The sequence below is a fragment of the Homo sapiens genome, chromosome 18 (assembly GCF_000001405.40).
Source record: "Homo sapiens chromosome 18, GRCh38.p14 Primary Assembly".
Classification (NCBI taxonomy): domain Eukaryota; kingdom Metazoa; phylum Chordata; class Mammalia; order Primates; family Hominidae; genus Homo; species Homo sapiens.
In genome coordinates, this window is record NC_000018.10 from 57,156,870 (window position 1) to 57,177,442 (window position 20,573).

Here is a 20,573-nt window from a genome sequence, read left to right on the forward strand (position 1 = left end):
TCTACCTGCATATCTTAGATGCTGGCTCACACCCCCAGAACATCTCTAGAAAGTTACTGGAGATCTCTGTTCTTCTCCTTCTCTCCTTCTCTGAGCCTACTCCGCACACTCCCATTTCAGAGCTTGGGAGAGCGGGCAATGTTTACCACTGTGCACAAGAAAACCCTACTGGGTTGAGGTGGACTGGATGATCCATCTCAGAGGATTAGAGGTCTCCAAGCCAATACTACTATTAGGATTTGGAGGCACTCTTCTGTGACCTGATTTGTGTCATCCTGGACAATTCCTTCTACCTCTTTTGAATCCAACTGCTCTCCTTTGAAGGACTGGAGTGATAGGAGATCTGGCTGCAGGACTCTGACTGGTGGCCAGGAATCCTTATTCCCATGGTCCTTCAAGACTGAGAGTTGAATGGTGCCCAGGTTAATGCTGCACCTCATACCCATGGCGAAAGGAGATGTGGGTTTTGATCAGATCTGCTAGAGTCTGCATTCCAAAACCTTCCTAACAATCCTCTTGATGTCAACAAATCAATCAGCAAGGATCGGTTAAGCCAGCTGCTCCCCAGGCAGCTATATTTCTTGCCGTTTGGAATCTTATTCTGTCTACCTATAATTCTGGTTTCTCATGTCATGCTAGCGGCAAGTGGAGGAGGGGGGCATGGATAGGAGGGAATTGAAGGTTGTCTGGCTGGAGCCCTTCCTAAGCAGTTGCTGGCAGTCTAGCCCAGGTCCCTCTGGCATTGGTTGTGTGTTCCCTTTGGTGTCTGGCAGAGTCACTACCCATAACCAGTTTGGTGTGGGGGTTACAAGGACTGCTGTGGAGCCTCTGGGGTCAGGACGCTTGGAGCCCACTCCCAGCTCAGCTGTTGACTAAGGTTCTACGTGCTATGGCTGCCATTTAACCTTTCTGGGCCTCAGTTTTCCCATTTGTGAAGTGAGGATAATAACATCCCCTACCTCAGAAAGTTTTTTGATAAGAATTAAATGAGTCAAGCTCTCAGAAAACTGCCTGGCATGAGATAAGGGCTCAAAATCTCTCAGTTGGGGTTACGACTGCTCACTTGCTGCCTCCCTCATGCCCTGTGACTTCTGACTAACTGTCTCCAGCAGGTGAGATTGTGATGGGAGTGGAGGGTGCAGAGTTATTGCATGGTGGGAGAAAAGAGAAAGCAGTGTTAGTTATTTTATTAGATCGCAAGACAGGAAAGAAGCCTGCATCCTGAGTTCTACCCAACACCCCTGGGAGCAGCCCATCCCTGCATCTCTCCTTGGCCACAGTCCTAGGGCCATGTTCAGGGCAGGTCAGCTCTTTCTGCTGACTTCTGTATTAGGTCCCTCACCTAGCTACTGCCACTTAACTTTTTCCTTGGCAATTAACCCAAGAAAACTGCCTGGGAGGGGAATTTGTTTCCTTGAATGCCACATTTGCTAGGTGTCTATTTTGTGCTCCCACTTGGCCAGGTTCTGGGGACCCGTGAATGCATAAGACAGAGACCCAAAGTCTCCCCAGGCCTCAAAGTCTACCGGCCCCATAGCTCTCATCCTCCAGCCTCACCCTCTCCAACCCAGACATGCACCAAGCACCCTCAGAGCCTTCACCCCTTCTCTCCCCTGAGCTCAGAGCCCTCTCCCCAACCACATAGATACACACGACTCCCTCCCTGGCTTCCTGCAGGTCTGTGTATGAAAGTCACCTCCTCAGAGAAGCCTTCTCTGATTTCACTCTTTAAATCAACCCTCCACAATCTGGTCTGGTCCCTGCCTTTTGGTCTTCATGGAGCTCATCACTCACTACTTGACATTCCGTTATCTATTCATGGGATTTGCTTTTTATTTGTCTCTCCCAGAATTGAATAGATATCAGATATTCTTAACATTTTTGTGCTCCATGACCCCATTGATAGTCTGGGGGTCTGCAGATCATCCCTTTTCACAGTAAGGTTTTATAAATACATAAGACAAAACACATAGTATCACAAAAGAAACCAACTATATTGAAATATGGTTATCAAAATGTAAAAGAAATCTCAAATTTATGATACAAGGATTACATATGCTTATTTGTTAATACATAAAATAAGAGAATCTAAAACTGGCCTCCCAATTTCTACTTTTAAGGTAATGCTATTTCCAATAAATATTTCTAAACCTATAAAAGAACTATAATGTGATATGACAAGACTGATTTTTATTAATAACAAAGCCACAGGCACTGCTAATACTATTGTGGTTTGTTGCCTAAATTCATAATTGAAGAAAAATGCTACATTTTTGCAAGTGTAGTGAAAATGAAACTGCATTTTCTGCCCCACTCAAGTTCAAGATTCCCTTGAGTTCTTCAGGTCAGGTTGAGCTCTTTAGGCCACAGGTATTGTTTTCTCTCCTGCTAGCACCAAAAACCATGCCTGGAACATCACCGGTGCTCAATAAATATTTCTGGATGTTACAATCTGGTAGTTAAAGGGTTAAAATTCGTTCCCCAATTTTCACATTCATTTTAATAATAAAATGATAACAATAGGTACTATGCAATGATTGCTTTCTGTATACCAGACCCTCCTTTATAAACATTATCTCATTTAATTCTTCTAATAACCCTGCAGTGTGTACTATTAATACTTTCATTCTGTGGGTATAGAAACTGAGACAAAGTTTAAGCAATCTGTCAAGGCCACACAGCTTATATTAGGACTCAGATCTGTCTGTTTTCTTAAACTATTAAGGGTAGCTTCCTGTGAGGGTCTCAGCCTCCAGGACTGGCCCACAGTTCCAACAGGCCCTTCCCTGGTCAACTTCATTGGGTAGAATTCACACCAGCTCTCTTCTACCCTGGTCCTCTTATGCTACCTGTGGTGCCAGCTGGGAGATCTTAACCACTCACCCAGCTTAACACAACTACCTAAAAGCTAATGACTCCCAGGCTGGTATTACCAGGATCAATTTCTCTTCTGCTCTCCAAATCTTAATGTCCACTCTCCCATTGAATTCCTTTGTCTAGATGGTCTTCATGCCTTTCTACATTAATGTAAGAGTCACCTTCACCACAAAGACTTTCCTGACTTTTCTCAGGTAGATCTGCCACATTGTGTCCCCATTGTTTTCTGCACACACCCTACCACTACTCCAGTAATATTGTATTTGTTTACATACCCTCCTCTCTTTACCATTCTGGCAGCTCCTTGATAACAGAGACTATTTCCATTTTGTCTCTAAATCCCTAGGACATAGTGCAATGTCTGACATAGTAGGAAAGTGTGAATGCTTGTTGAATGGGCAAATAGATGAATGAATGAATGAATTATATGCACCAATCATAGTCAACATTTGGCTGTTGTGTTCATTATTAATTGCATATAACCAAGTGTCCAATACCGTTATGTGGCCCAAGAGAAATAGATTTTGAAGATGCAGAAACAGGTTCCACTTTATTTCCAAACCTGAAGTTAACCTGCAAGAAAAGTATCTAGAACTAGATCACAACAGGGTAAAATATCTATTTGTTTCAGTTCCTCAAATCAATTCAAACCCCGTTAATACTTAATTTAATTCACTGGCTTTTTTAACAAAGAACATTAACAGATATGTTATTAAGCTGTGGGGTCATTCATAATTGGTCATCTCTCTGTGAATTAAATTTTAAAAAGGAAAAGTAAAATCAAAGAATAATCAGATTTCCTATTTATGCAGGGCAACTAAGTTAAATTATATTTACTTTCTAAAAATAGATTATTTTCTTAAGAAACAAACATTTATTTTGATCTCAAGTGATCTCAATATATCTTATATAGAGTTAACAAATACATTCCAGGTAATAGTATTATAGACTTAATAGATTTAGCATGCATTTAATGATGTTTGAGTGTAGAGCACTGAGCTGAGACCTGAAGGAAAACAAAGATAGATTGAACACCGCCTCTTCCCTAAAAAGGAGCCTGGAAACAATAGAAGGGTGTAAGCCTCGAGGGATGGGCTGAGCTAAGCTGACGATGGAACTTATGCTTCAAGATATCAAGTACTGAGGCATTTTGAAGTCTTGGTCTAGTGGCATGTCTAATGGTGGAGAGGCCTCTTGGGTCTGCAGAGAAAGCAGGATGTGGGATAAAAGGCCACTTTAAAACCACACTTTCCTTATTAATTGCCAGCAGTGATGGGAACCTCGAGTGTGCCCCTATCGCCAGCTGCCATAAACAATACTGTGGTGAGCATGTGATGACTCTCAATCCAATGACTAGTGTTCTTATAAAGAGAGAAGAGGACACAGAGGTGTGAAGACAGAGGCAGGTGATGAATTGCTAGGAGCCGCCAAAAGCTGGAAGACGCAGGGAAGATTTCTTCCTAACATGTAAACAGCACCAAAGGGATGGTGCTAAACCATTAATGAGAAATTTCCCCCATGATCCAATCACTCCCTCCAGGCCCCACCTCCAATATTCGGGATTATAATTCGACATGAGATTGGGAAAGGGACACAGATCCAAACTATAGCAAGTATTGAAGAATTGGGGATCATATTTTAAAAACACCACAGTCAGGATACCTGTCTTGGGTCCCTTTTCGCAATTAGTTGTGTCTTCTTGAAAGAAGACCTTTACCTTGCTGGTTCTAGGTTTTTTGCAAAGAAGATGAGGATATTGGGCCACATGGCTATCTAAGGATCTCTGATTCAATGTCCACACATCACCACAGTGTTTAGGTATAGGAAAACTCTGCTGTAAGAGTTGTTTTAGCTTGTCAGTGGTTATATTGTATCGAGATCCCTTCACACATGGCCGAATCCATGTCCTTGTGGAGCTTATTTAGCTCGGCTGCAGTTTTAGGTCTATTTCAGATATCCCCCTGAATTCTGAAGGGGGCGGGGGAGGCTAACTCCCCCGCTGGGATGCAGGCTCCGTTGTGCTGCCATCCCCTCCCTTGGGCTGCCTTGCACAAGGACTCAATCATGGAGTAGCTTGCTCAGAATCTGAAAGAGTAGCTGCTTTCCTGTTCCATTAGCTTCTTCTCCAAGATCTGTCTAAGAGAGCATAAAATATCTTCAAGTTAGGGAAGGGTATAGACAAGAGATGGAGGGATTTGCTCAGTACCTTTTATTTCCTCACTACAGCAGATGGAAGAGATGCTGCTGCTTCTGCCTTGTGATGCTAGAGGAACCAGGGAGATCAGGGAGGTTACTCCCTCACACCAAAACCTGGAACACAAGATGAGAAACTCTTATCAAGACCTAATGTACACCTGTAAGATGAGATATGAAAATGAAGCACCTCCTAAACTACCAAGAGCAGGTGGATTAACTTGGATGTGATTGCAGAATCCACATGACAGATTCTATGCCTAACCATGATATAGGCTCAGAGTCATTTTCATTTTTTTCCAATGGATGTTTGCAGGGCCCTCCTTCAGAGAGGGGTGATCAGAGGAGACAGGAAGAATAAGCTACGGAGAAGTGCTGACCTTGTTTATTGAGGAATTTCTGAGTGTACCGGAGGAATCACAACCCAGGGAGAAGTCAGACAGACATCTCAGAAAAAGAATGCTAACCAAAACAAGAAGGTTTTTACTGATCCTCTTCAATTCTCACTTGGATGTATAACTGTATCACTTACAAGTTCATCTTTTTTTACATAATAGATGAGTTCCAAAGAACTACTATGTAGAAATATTTTTCTAAGTATTTTATAACATTTTAATGTGCAATGAAAAGTGCTTATTTTAAAAAGGATTACTTGGTGCTGTTCTCATGATAGTAAGTGAGCTCTCTTGAGATCTTTTTGTTTAAAAGTGTGTGGCGCCTCCACTCTCTCTCTCTTGCCCCTCCTCCTACCACATGACAGTGCTTGTTCCCGCTCGCCTTCTGCCTTGATTGTAAGTTTCCTGAGGCCTCCCCAGAGGCCGAGCCGATGCCAGTATCATGCTTCCCATACAGCCTGCAGAACCGTGACCCAATTAAACCTCTTTTCTTTATAAATTATCCAATCTCAGGTATGTCTTTATAGCAATGTGAACTCTCTTATTGAGAAGACATCTGTGTCCCTTCTCCTTGAATCTGGGCTCTGTGATTGATTGACCAATGGTATATGACAGAATTGACAGCATAGTAGGTTCCCAACCCAGGACTTTAAGAAACTGGGAGCTGCCACTTTCTGTCTCTTAGAACTCTTATTAGTGGAACCCAGCAACCATGCTGTGAGGAAGCCCAAGCAGCCCATGGAGAAGCTAATGTGGAGAGGAATTAATGTCCTTAGTTTTCAGCCCCCAGCTGAGCTCCCAGGCAATAGCAAGTCCCAATTTATCAGCCATGTGAGCAAGCCATTTTGGAAGTGAATCTTTCAGCTCCACTTCACCCCAGTCCCACTTCATTCCAGCCCCAGTTGGTGCTTCATGGAGCAGAGGTGGGCCTTCCCTGCTAACCTCTGTTCAAATTGCAGATTGGTGAGTTAAATAAATGTTTACTTTTAGTCATTTAATGGTTTTAAGCCACCAACTTTTGGGGTAATTTGTTCCATAGCAATAAATGACTACAGTACTTTCTGTCCAATATACTCCCTATTATACCATCAACCGACATCTTCTTGGGAACGGGAGATGGGACAAGTGGGTGAAATACTACATCAATGTTTCTCACACTTAGCCAGATATCAGAATGACCTGGAAAGTTGTTAAAAATGCAAATCTCCTATTTCAGTAGATCTTGGGTAGGTACAGAAACCTGCATTTTTAACAAGTGTTCCAATTGTCCAAGAATACTGTATTGTCACAGGTTAATTAAATTATGGTTACTCTAATAGAAGAACAAGTTCATTGGCTCGAAACACTTTAGGAAAATTACAACTGTCCTTCTGCTCTACCTTCTTTCATACCTTTATCATTTTGTAATTTGAAAGAGAATGGTATTCTAGCCTCCTAGAAAGAAGAACAAAATATTACATTAATCCGCTTAGTCATATTAGCTAAACTCCATAGCTTTGGAGTTGAGAGGCCATTTGCCTTAAAGTTCTGCTGTTCAAATTCTGCATGCTCAGGGCTTCCAGCCTACAACTCTGCCCTGTGTCCTCTCAGCTGCCTGTCACTTACTGGAGACAGACGCAGGGTGGTAGGAGCACATACCTAGGAACCAGACAAACCTGGGTTCAAAGCCTAGGGGGCTTCTTGTTAGGTGTGTGACGTTTAGCAAGTTATCTTTCTAAGTCTCCGATTACTCATCTATAAGATGATAATAATCATGTTGCCTATCTCACAGGATTGCTGTGAGGATTAAATGACCACTATACATTAAGTGCTCAGTACAATGCCTGGCACACAGTAATGGCTCAATAGATATGTCCAACAAAAGATAAATACACATCATGAGTGTCACCCACTACCTACATTTATACCTGGAGATGGGAAAATGGATAAAATCAGTGGTAACCCCACATTGATATGAGCCAGAGTCAAATCACTAGGGCATATTTTAAAAACACAGATTTCGAGACCCCAGTCTCACTGACTCTGGGTCAGTAGATGCGCATGAGCCCAAGAATTTGTGCAAATAATTAGAAGGAAGCATCAGGTTTGGGATCCAGTAGAGCACTCAGATTTTTTTGCTCTGGACCATGCTGAAGACCAGTTCATCAAAATCGTCTGTGAGATATTGCTCCACGCCAGCATATTTCCCTGCATTTTATGCACCCCAGCTGCAACAACGAGGCTACCATGCTGCTTGACAGACTTGAATGACACAGGCCTCCATGGGTTAGTACTGTTTTTAGCTTCCAAGGAGACTGATTCTCTAGTCTTTCCAGGACAAGGAGTGAGGAAAGCCCCGGGCACCTTGGCTTCCTTAACTTCTCCCAAAGCTTCACATTCGCCACCTTCACACTTGACCCTGCTCTCTACCCACAGAATAAAAGTAGATGTCACTACCCGAGATTTTAATTAATCATCTTTCTATTTTTTTTTCCTTTTGGGTTAGACTCCTAAGTGTCTATCATGTTGATAGCACTCTGGGGAGTCTTTTGTTCTGAATAGGGGAAAAATTGTACCCACAAAAAGAGTTCCCCATCAGATCAATTCTAACAACTTTATTGATTAGCTGCAGGAACATTTTTCATTTATTAATTATGAGGAAGATGTTTCAGGGATTCCTTAAAGTTAACTATTGTGATTTTTTTTAAATACTGAATTAACATTGACTGACTTGACTCAAACTGCTTAACAGGGCACAGAGTCTTAAAGCAGGTATTTGGATTCTCAGCGCAGGAAGCTATTAAGTGCCTGTGAGCATAGGCAGTGGTCTGAATCTTCATTTGGGACTGATTAATTGATTACTTGAAAAAAAAAAAATGGCTTGTCCTTTTCAATAATGTGTTAGCATCAAAATATCATCCCATTGTGATCGCCAGGCTGGTGATAGTTAATTAATTAATCGCTGCCAGTTAAAAACAATGTTCGACCCAGGTAAATCTTTCATTTATTAAAATCAATTTTGGTAATGGCTTTGCAAAGAGATTTGGGAGCAGAGTCAGGAATATTGGCCAGCTCCTCCTTCCCTCCCCACGCCTTTCCCTTCTTCCCTCCCTCTTCTCCCCCTCCCCCATTCCTCCCCCCACCTCACCTCCCTCCTCCATCCAGCTGCCCCTGACTCTGGGGTTGGCAGGTGTCTATTAGCGCCCCATTCAGCAGTGTGGGTCAGAGGCTCCCTGGGATGTGGATACTCTGTAGGTTGCAGGCTGGCTTCCTCCTCCTCCCCACGAGTTACTTAGCAGAAAACAATCTGACAGCAGACATCTCTGCCAGCTTAATTCCCAAGGCTTCCTGAGGAAGAAGGTTGGGCTTCTCGGAAGAGAGGGAACCTGAACCAGGAAAAGAAATTCTTGCTCCCCAGCCCATAGTAGTATCCCCAGCTCTGTCACTCACCACATCCTTGCTAGACTACATTCATGGCAAGTAACCCTAATCATGAAAGAAAGAAAAAAATGCATCCAACTTCATCAGTGAACAAGGCACTGTGCTGGACACAAACATGAATAGGGGTCCATCCCTGCCCTCAGGGTGACTCCAGTCTATGGAATCCATCTTTTTACAGTTCTAGCAGAACTGAGGAACATGCAGGAGGAAAACTGGTGGTGTGTATTAGTCTGTTTTGATGCTGCTAATAAAGACATATCTGAGACTGGGTAATTTATAAAGGAAAGAGGTTTAATTGACTCACAGTTCCACATGGCTGGGGAGGACTCACAATCATGGTGGAAGCAAAGGAGAAGCAAAGTCACATCTTACATGGTGGCAGGAAAGAGAGCATTTTGCAGGGGAACTCGCCTTTATAAAACCATCAGATCTCATGAAACTTATTCATTATCACAAGAACAGCATGGGAAAAACCCACCCCTCTGATTCAATTACCTCCCACCAGGTTCTTCCCACAACACATGGGGATTACAGGAGCTATGATTCAAGATGAGATTTGGGTAGGGACACAGACAAACCATATCATGGCATGTGGATAAGATTAGGACAAGAGGAGATACCCACCTCACCTCAGGTGCTTCAGAGGAAAAATGGATTTGAATTCAAGGTAAAAGGTTATAAAAAAATGTATTTCTCATGAGGAATAGGAGATGATAAAAATGAATCTGATTGGTGAATGTGAATGATGCCAGGGAAAATGAAAAGGGAGTAAGAGGCAAAACCAAACCAAACCCCAAAATCCTTGTGGCTGCTCAGGGAGCTTACGGTGGAGTTTGAGGTTTTGGGGAGCCCTCAAGCAGAGTGGGCCGTGGGTTAGGGGTGGGGGGTGGAGGGCTGAGTCAGAGGAGCTTGGGGTCCTGAAGAGTCAAGTCAAATATCAAAAGCTTTGAGCCATGTGTTTGATGTAAAAAGATAAGTGAGGGGGGAGGAACACAGATTCAAGAAGGCTGATGTGGAAATATGAGGCCACAGGGCTGGTCTGGGTTCTCTAGCTAAAGAATCAGCCTTCCCAGGACTGGGGAGAGCTCAGCAGAAGGGAGGCAGTGAGGGACACAGGGGGCATGTGACCATTTAAAGTAGGTTGAAGTCTCCAGAAAAGTTACATCCCAGGCTCCTCAAAAAACTTGCAAATGTGACCTTAAAACTACTTACTGTTGTTGAGAAATTATGGAAATGAGGATAGGAAAACAATGTACTGGCAAAAGTTCCCATTCTCAAAAAGAAAGTGTAGATTCTGGAAACCATAAACTTGATCTCCCCTGACATGCATGCATAGCTCCCTGATAAAATTCCAGATCAAATTATTAAAAGGAAGATTGGAGGCCAGGCGTGATGGCTCACGCCTGTAATCCCAGCACTTTGGGAGGCCGAGGTGGGCAGATCACAAGGTCAAGAGATCGAGACCATCCTGGCCAACATGGTGAAACACCATCTCTACTAAAAATACAAAAATTAGCTGGGCATGGTGGTGTGCACCTGTATTCCCAGCTACTTGGGAGGCTGAGGCAGAGGAATTGCTTGAACCCGGGATGCAGAGGTTGCAGTGAGCCGAGATCATGCCACTGCACTCCAGCCTGGTGACAGAGTGAGACTCTGTCTCAAAAATAAAGTAAAATAAAATAAAAATATATATATATAAATAAAAGAAAATAAAAGGAAGATTGGAGGGTTTTAGAAATGAATTCAGAGGTTCTTAGTGGTTAAAATAAAATTGCTAATAACAAGCCAAATGAACCATATTTCCTTTCTGATAAGGTTATAGGCTCATGTATCAGAGGCATGACATAATTGTGGATCTTCTCTATTCTAGCAAAGCAACTGAGCTGAGCTTGCCTGATATTCCTATGGGCAAATTTGTAAATTCTGGGTTGAACTGGTGCAGATAGTTTGAATCACTACCAATAAGCATTCTTACTGAAAGAATCTTGATTATTGAACAATGGGAGGAATTGAGTTTAGAATTCTTTTCCTAACCCTACCTTGTTCAAAGTTTGTTTGTTTGTTTGTTTTAAGTGAATGAAGGCACAGGAAACATGCTTATCAGATTTCTACATATGACTCATGTCTGGAAGGGATAGTTAACACAACGAAAGAACAAATCAATATTCAAAGTTATTCTGTTAGGTTGGAATATGGAAAAAAACTTAAGAGTATAACAGGAATAAACATAAACTCTGAGTTTAGGTTAAAAAATCAATAACAAAGGCACAGCACTGAGAATGTGTGGCTTGGTAGCAGTTGACATAAAAAGAAGCTGGGAGTTTATCTGACATTAAGGATACAACAGCATCATGTGACTGGTAAGAAAGCTGATGCAGCATTAGGCACTGTCTTAGTTTGGGTGACCCTAAGGCAAAACTTGAGATGAGAATTCCAGTACCAGTAATTACTTTGGAAGGTGAACCCAGGAAGCCTTCTCCCATATGGGATGGGGGAAGTGACACAGGGAAGGAGCCAAGAAAGGATGAGCATCAAGTCAGTAGTGAGAAGGGTAACAGGAACATGATGCTGCCGGGAAACTCTGAAGAGGGTGGAGAGCATGAATCTCAGGGCTACCCCAGCTGAGTGGTGAGGGAGCTGGGGTTTTTATACTCCACCTTTCATTTCGTTACTGGCTGAAGACTCCTTTGGGGAGTGTTGACTCCTTGGCACTTCTGACTGTGCACAAAGCAGGCTCTGGCCGACAGAGAAAGTCCTCAGGCAAAGATATTTAGGTGCTGACAGTTAGAAATCAGGCCACCATGCACGAAAATGCTAGGGCTCAAGAAGATATGGGCTGGGCACCAGTGACGTCAGCTATAGTCTCTAAGAATTATATAACAAACACATGTCTATCCTGCTGGGCAGCCATTATCTGGGGTGCTCTATTTAATTCTGGGTGCCACATTCAAGAAAAACATTGAAGAACTGGAGTAGAGAACCAAGATCACAAAGGGTTTGAGGACCATGTCATCTGGAGATGGAACTAAGGAGAGCCAGTTTGGAAAAGGAAAAACAAGGGCAGATGATATCTGCTTGACATATTCTCTTGGGTGTCTAACAGACATCTTCAACTTAACATGTCCAAATGGGAGTTCAATGTTCTCCCTTGAAGCTAGAATACCATGTTTTAAATATGCTGGATAAATATAGAAAACATACTATGGCCCCTACTGCCACTACCCCTCCATCCTGCCATGGTCATACTCCTCTTCTAAAGGGAGGGTGTGAAAGGAGAACTGAGTAAATATGGAATACCAAAACACAAATGTCAAAAAGGTTAATATCTATACATAGAAGTGATTTTAAAGATGTGCTGGGCTTTGATATTGAAATAACTGAAAAAATATACAAAACTTGGACAAATTCTTAATCTGGGGCTATAAAAGAATAACAAAAGGATCCATTTTTAAAAACTAAAGACAACACCATGGATGAACAAATAAGAGATTATTTATGCTGGGTGCAGTGGCTTATGCCTATAATCCCAGCACTTTGGGAAGCTGAGGTGGGAGGATTGCTTGAACCCAGGGGTTCCAGACCAGCCTGGGCAACATGGCTAAACCTTGTCTTTACAAAAAAACAAAAAACAAAAATTAACTGGGTGGGGTGTCAAATGGCTGTAGTCCCAGCTACTTGGTAGGCTGAGGCCGGAGGATTGCTTGATCCTTGGGATGTCGAGCTGCTCAATCCCTGAAGGTCCATAATCATGTCATTGCACTCCAGCCTGTATGACAGAGAAAGACCCTGTCTCAAAAAAGAGATTAATTACCACTTACGCGAGCATATATTATAGATTAGATATTCCTACACATAGATAGATATATATTGATTCATTTAACTGTTAATTATTCATTCGTACAGGCATATAAACATTGCAAATTATAGCTGGGTATGACAGTACTGTGGTTTTGATATTAATACCAATTCTTCCCCACTGGTGAAAATAAATGATGGCATTCCCAACCGATAGACCATTCAGTGGTGGAACTCCCTGTATGTTGATATGGAATCATCTTCAAGACCCAGCTTTCTCGCAATTAACAGTCTTCCTCTTGCCATGCTCACTGGCCCAGGGCTTCATTTGGTTTCAAGGCTGCCTTGTCTTCAAGGGTCCTTGTCTTCCTTGTGTTGCTCCAGGATCCTGGTCAGACTACTTATCAACCATGTGGCTTGAAAAAAATCCCATAACTTAACAGGATTCTAGTTTTCCCGAAATGTCTTTCTCATGGGCTTGCTGTGGAGAACAAGTAGGGATAGAAATGAGTTTTTGGAGATTTGGGATTTGATTTTCTTTTGAGTTGGCCTGGGGAGAATGAGAAGCCAAAGATATCTCTAAAGCTGTCATAGAAAGAAGCATTTGTTCTTTTTTTCATTTAATATTATTCTGGCTTGGGACAAAATACTTATTCTTATAATCCCTGCCTCCCTTGAGGAAATCATCCAGGAGGCAGTGACCTGGACCAATTGTAATGGACCTGTACAAATCTGAACAAATGCAAGAGAATAATGCAGAGAAACAAAGCATCTGCATCCAAGACACCAGGTTTGTACAGTTTAGGACAGAAGCTGTGGCCAGGGTGCTCTGGGAATCCTAAGTGTGGAGAAGAGAAGCTGTCAGCTCTCATCTAGGCTGTTCCAAAAGACTCCTCACAACAGTCAGGATCCCACAGCAAATTGAATAAGCAGAAAGACACGGTTTGACTGCCAGATATAAGGGACATTTTCCAAAACTTAGAGAGAACCGATAGGATGCAGAAAGGACACTTAAATGTCTAGCGCTCAAAAACAAATTCAAATAGAATATCTACCTGTAACATAAAAATAAGTTATTTCTGTATAAATCTAAGAAATCAAAGTAAACATTTGAGGCAGGATGAAAAAATTAGAGCTGACTCTGATGATGTAAGGATTTTAACAAGAGCTTCATTGGATTATCTGTTGCTATCAGTACTTTCTAGAGAATGAGGCAGAGAAAAGATAGAATGATTTTGTCTTCTTTCTTGCCAAGTGGCTGCCTTGCAAGGGCATGGAATTCTAGGCATTTTCAGTGCTCTGGGCTTTGTGGGATGCTGGTGAAAGAGTAACAATACCTTGTACCTGAACAAGTCTTTCCTAGTTGCAAAGCACTTTCTCATCAATTATCTTAGTTGAACTCAATATCACTATGAAAAATGCATTGTGAGGAAACAGGTTCTGCAAAGTGAGGGACTGTTGGCATCTCCCAGTGAGAAGTGGTGACCTGGAACACCTGTTTTCTTTTGTGTGTTCTTTGTACCATGCCATGCTATCTGTAAGACCCACTCCTCTTTTCCTAAAATATCTCACCCCTGACCCACCTTTATGTGCAAACTTTCATTCCTGAAGTTTCATTCTTTCAAGCAAAGATAGCTCTGGAGGCTCCATACCAAGATGAAAATACCTCTAGGAGGATGATCACATTGGTGCCATTATCTGCCAGCGAGGATGAGTTTATCTAATTGGACCCTTGGGAGATAGAAGATAAGACAGATATGTTCTGAAACAAGAATGAAGGGAATGTAAAAAAACTGGACACAAAACACTGCTAAAGACAGAAGGGGAATCCAGGCAAAGTGTCCAGAGGAAACTCTGGGACCCAGAGAGCATTTTTAAGGGCATGGAGTGACCCAGAGAAAGTAGACAGAAAGGCCCTAAGACAAATGTCACCTACACTATGGTTTTACTGGGAGAAGGTTTAGATCATATGAGTCGTGGTAGGTCTTGAGTTTCAATATGGCAGATCAGCTAAGAGAGGTGAAGAGTTGGGTTGGTTGAATTAGAAAAGGGAGAACCTGGATGGACAGAGATGTCTATTGAGGTCAGTTAGCATAGAAAGGTGCCCAAGAGCTTTAAATCTAGACAGGGAAGGATATCCCAGGGTCTGGAGAATAAGCCCTTCAGAGAGAGAGAAAAAAAAAAACTTTACAACGAACTGTGATGTGGAAGCCTGAGTAACAAGTCTGAGATGAGGGCCTGGCAGAGTGCACATCGAGCAGGTGAAGGTGACTAGACTGGCTGGATACACTGAAATGCCACTGCAGCCTCCAGTTGCAGGAAGTCAGGGACCCAGGTTAAAGACTTGGGGACATAAATGAGTAGAGGCCTGAGCTCTGTTACCCAGGGTACCAGGAGTTAGAAGCCTGGCTTGGAAAGGACGAGAAATTGGAGTTAAATACAACATACCCTTTGACCTATAATTTCACAGATGTTTTTCTACAGATATTCTCATGCATGTGAGAAATGTCATACATGCAAGAATATTCACTGTGGCATTGTTAGAAACAGCTTAAAGGTTCTTCAATAGAAGATGGCTAAAAAATTATTGCATACTCATGCAATAGAAAATTAAGCTGCAGAACTTCCTTGGCACTGATCTGGAACAATCTTTAAGAACGTGTCCTCAAAATAAGCAAAGAAAGAATGGTATATATAGTGAGCTACCATGTTTTTTTTGTTTGTTTGAGACAAGGTCTCACTCTGTGGCCCAGACTGGAGTGCAGTGGCATGATCACAACTCACTGCAGCCTTGACTTCCTGGGCTCAAATGATCCTCCCAGCTCAGCCCCCCGAATAGCTACAGGCTACAGGTGTGTGCCATCGTGCACAATTAGTTTGTCTGTTTGTTGTTGTTGTTGTTTTTGGTAGGGATGGGGTTTCATTTTGTTGACCAAGCTGGTCTCAAACTCCTGGGCTCAAATTATGTTTCTGCTTCAGTCTCCCAAAGTGCTTGGATTAAAGGGGTGAGCCCCTGCACCCTGCCTTGTATTTCTTTTTATAAAACATACCTGAGGAGACTTCTGGGGATGAGATCTGGGTGGCTGAGTAATAGATTGGGAAGAAGCTATTCTCAATATACTCTTATAACCTTGGAGATTTGTACTGTATATATGCATTAGCTATTAACAACAACAACAACAACAAAAAGGCCTGGAAGGATTAGATGACAGGGAGCAGGAGCCAGAACCCAAAGAAAATGTACCAAAATGAAAGGTTAGGCAGAGGCAGGTCAGTGGGCTGGGGCACAATGTTGGGCCAGGGTGTCTTACTTGCAACCTCATCCATGTGGTTCTTGCAAGATTCAGTTCCTCGTAGACTATTGATGAGACTAAGGGTCTCATTGCCTTGCTGGCTGTTGTCCAGGGGACCCTACAGTTCCTTGTCATGGAGGCCTCTTCACAGGGCAACTTGCAACATGGCAGTGGGCTTCCCTCAAAGCAAGTGAGAAGGCAAGAGAGAGTGCACAGCCTTTTTACATACTAATATCAAAAGTGACATCCCATCAACTCTATTGCATTCTATTCTCTAGAAGAGAATGTGAGTTCCCAGCCTGGTCCAGGGAAGTCAGAAAAGTTGAGGGATGCTAGGTCCAGGAAGGGGTCACCTGAGAGAGTGAGGAGATCAGAGAAGGGTCAGGTGGCCAGGCAGTTTCCCTAGTACCCTCCTGCCCTGGAGCCTTAGTTCTTGAAGAAAATTTTAAGGCCACTCAGCCTGGTGGTTCCAAAATATACTCATTTAATGTAACTGTCAGAGTCAACCAGAACCCTTCTTTAAAAATTCAGATCTGTGGCCCCATTCCAGACGCTTGAACCTGAAAGTCTCAGAGGTGAAATGGGGCTTAGCATCATTCCTGTGGATTCTGATGTTCAGCCTGGTTGGAAACCACTGACCTTGATCATCCATTTCTTTCCCAGCCGAAGGGAATTTCCAAGAGAGAGGATGGTGGTGCAGTGCATATTGCAACCCCGGATCAGCCAGAAGTCCGTGGATTTGGGAAAGCACATGTAACAATGTCGTCCAGGGTACACTGCAAGGAACACAGGCTTAGAGTCACAAGGGTCTGTGCTTGAACCCAGGTCTGTTATTTGCTACTTATGTCCTTGGAAATGATTTAATATTGTTATGATTCAATCTCTTTATTTCTTACATGGATTTAATAACATCTACCCCATAGTTTAACATTTAAATTAGATAATGCATATGTAGTGGCTAGTGGTTATTACAATTATTACTCTTCTGTTACTGCAATCTCACAGGAAGGTAAGGACCTTGACAAGAGATGAAGGTCTGTTATCACAAGAAGAGCAAGAAACAAACCAGCTGACTTCCGAAGCATTTTTTAAAGTCCAGCATCAAACTCTCGGGAGTGTGAGCAAAAAGTGGGACTGGCATGGGATCAGTTTTCTGCAAGTACCCTAATCCTGTGAGTGCCCAGGCCACTTAGATCTCTGACCTAGTGAACATTTAGTGCTTAATCACCCTCAAAATATACTATTTTATCCTTGAAGTGGGATTGTCTTGGGCTTATGCGATGAGCCACACTGGAGACAAAATAGACCAGTTCTGGATCTCTGGAGGACTAAGAGAGGTCTGTGCTTTTTACCGTATTTAACTGAGCTCCTGATAAGATTGCTTTCCTGGGATTACAGAATGGAAACTTGAGGTATTCATCTGATCTCTTTCCCCTCAGCATGCTCAACTCCATTAACGACTAAAGAAGCACTTTCCTAGCACATTTAATGGGCTTGGGCTCATAAAGAATCATTCCAGGTTCTCACGATGCCCGGCTGGCCGAGGTGTTAAAGTACAGAAAACTTTAAGTCTGGAGAGGTTTAGAAGCTCATCTTGGCACCTCATTTTTAAGCGGGGGCTAATTTTACCCAGAGGCCGGCCACAAGCACGAATTTCTTCAGATTTGGAACTTTGGGGAGATACTTTATGTAAAGTGTGGCTGTTGGGTTGCTGCAGCTGTGTTTGAAAAAAGTACGGGGGGTGGGAGGGGGAGATTGAGGCCTACAGAAGTAGGAGATTCTGTAGTTAGTCAAGCATCAGAACCCAGGTGTTCAGATATGACTAGTTTTGGCAATGTCAGGAAGAAAGGACTGGACAGGGGAAAGGAGATTTGCAGCTAAAAAGTTAGTGCTGAGTTTGTTGGCAAACTTGCCTCTAGAATTTTTTTTAGAAAGTGATTTCTAAAATATTATTATATAAGTGAATTAGTTTCTATTTCTGTGTAATACATGAATCCAAAACTAAGCAGTTTAAAACAACAAAGAATGATTATCTCCCAGTTTCTATGGGACTGGAATCTGAGCATGGCTTAGGTAGATGCCTCTGGCTCAAGATGTCTCACAAGACTGCAATTAAGAAGTCAGCAGGGGCTGTGGTCTCATCTGAAGGCTCACCTTGGGAAGGACCTACTTGCAACCTCATCCATGTGGTTCTTGGCAAGATTCAGTTCCTCGTGGGCTATTGGACTAAGGGTCTCATTGCCTTGCTGGCTGTTGTCCAGGGGACCCTACAGTTCTTTGTCATGGAGGCCTCTTCACAGGGCAGCTTGCAACATGGCAGTGGGCTTCCCTCAAAGCAAGTGAGAAGGCAAGAGAGAGTGCACAGCCTTTTTATATACTAATATCAAAAGTGACATCCCATCAACTCTACTGCATTCTATTCTCTAGAAGCAAGTCACTAAATCAGCCCCCACTCAAGGGGAGGGAGGGTTACAAAGGCATGCATACCAGGAGGAGGGGATCACTGGGGCCATCTTGTAGACTGCCTACTGGACATTTGTTTTGGGTAGAAAATCAGGAAAACTCTGAAATACTACACTTCATAGGCAACTTTACCATGAAGATCTTAACTAATTACACACCTTCTTGTGCCTTTTTTCTATACACATATGTATTTTTTAAAAGATTTCAAACTATATATACTATGATTGCCTGCACTGTTAACTCAGAAATATTTCATGTATTGGTGTCAATAAACCTTGTTCTACTATATCACTTTTAACGGCTTATTTCATCATGTATTTCATCATATGAACTTATTCCACAAATGACTCAGCCACCCTTGCTCCAGCTCTGCATTTAATTTTGTCAAATTAATGTCACAATCATGAAAAATTGTGCCAGGCATTTAATGTGCTAAAGTGCAGCAAATCTCAGCAAGCTCTGTGCCTTCTGGCCTGTCCCTGGGGCTCAGCCTGTAGGTCTCTAACATGAGAGGTTCGAATAGATGGCCACTAAGGTCCCTTTAGAGACCAGAAAGCCTGTCCCCTGGGAGTGGTGATTCCTCAGAGATGCTACCCAACCCACTGGGGCCAGGAGTTTAGCAGCTGTCTAGGATGCCTTTGTTGATTTTGAGACCTCTGAATCCTTCTATGTCTGTGTAAATATATACAACTTGCTTGAATGTATTTATATATATATATACACAATATATATACAATATGTATACAACTTTCCTCTTTATTTCTTTTACAAAAAATGCTGTAACACTTTTCCATAGTTTGCTTTCTTTTCTTTTTTTTTTTTTTAGACGGAGTCTCGCTCTGTCACCCAGGCTGGAGTGCAGTGGCGCGATCTCTGCTCACTGCAAGCTCCGCCTTCCAGGTTCATGCCATTCTCCTGCCTCACCCTCCCGAGTAGCTGGGACTATAGGCTCCCGCCACCACGCCCGGCTAATTTTTTGTATTTTCAGTAGAGATGGGGTTTCATCGTGTTAGCCAGCATGGTCTCGATCTCCTGACCTCGTGATCCACCCACCTTGGCCTCCCAAAGTGCTGGGATTACAGGCGTGAGCCACCGTGCCCAGCTGCTTTCTTTTCTTTAAAAAAAATATCATAAGCATCTTTCAGGGACAGCTTAGAAATATATGCCCAAACTTCCTAACTACTGTCTGATATTTTTGTATAAAGATGTGCTATTGGCCAGGTGTGGTGGCTCACACCTGTAATCCCAGCACTTTGGGAGGCTGAGACAGGTGAATTACCTGAGATCAGGAATTAGAGACCAACCTGGCCAACATGGTGAAACTCCGTCTCTACTAAAAATACAAAAATTAGCCAGGTGTGGTGGCACACATCTGTAATCCCAGCTACTTGGGAGGCTGAGGCGGGAGAATTGGTTGAGCCTGGGAGAAGGAGGTTGCAGTGAGCTGACATTGTGCCACTGCACTCCATCTTGACAGACACAGTGAGACTCTGTCTCAAAAAAAAAAAATGCTATCACTTGGACATTTAGAATGTTTACAATTTTTTTCCTCCCTCAAGTCTGCTGTGACCACTTACATGCATATAACTTCATGTACCTGTGGGAGCTCTTCTATAGCAGAAATGTTTAGAAATGAAATTATTGGCTCAAAAGGTATGCCGTTTTTAAAACTCTTTAGGTGATCCCAATTTGTCTAATCTCTCCCAAGTCTTTAGCAACACTATGTATCTTTGCAATATTATCTTACTATGGATTTGGTTTGCCTTCAACACATTGGTGAGATTATTCACGTTATGTCTGGATTGGTAATTTATATATTTCTTCTGAGAAGTCCATGTTTTTGTCCTTTGATTAATATCTTCAAGGAAAAGAACAGCATACTTACCAGGGTGGCAGCCTTAGAAAATATCAAATTGTTAAAAGAGAAAAGCCCTTTTGATTCCATCTTATTTTCAGTGGTCCTCTCTGCCTACGTCTCCTTTTACTTCTTTTTGTGTTGGAAGAATAAGATAATATGTGATCCGTCTGCAGAAATGACACTAGGTTTCCCTGGGAAACCCACCGCAGAAAGAGACTAGAAGAATTAGGTGAGTGCTAGACTGCGGTTCCAGGGTTAGGCTTCTTGAAACTGCCTCTT

General features: G+C 42.6%; 1 long non-coding RNA gene across 1 annotated transcript; it reads right to left on the bottom strand.

Annotated features, from left to right (window-relative positions):
* Positions 1–12,745: 12,745 nt before the first annotated feature.
* LINC02565 (long intergenic non-protein coding RNA 2565) lies at positions 12,746–14,325 on the bottom strand. Its single transcript, NR_149129.1, has 2 exons — positions 14,264–14,325; positions 12,746–13,161 (listed from the first exon to the last, which is right to left on the bottom strand). It is a non-coding gene; the product is annotated as a long intergenic non-protein coding RNA 2565 (long non-coding RNA).
* Positions 14,326–20,573: the final 6,248 nt, after the last annotated feature.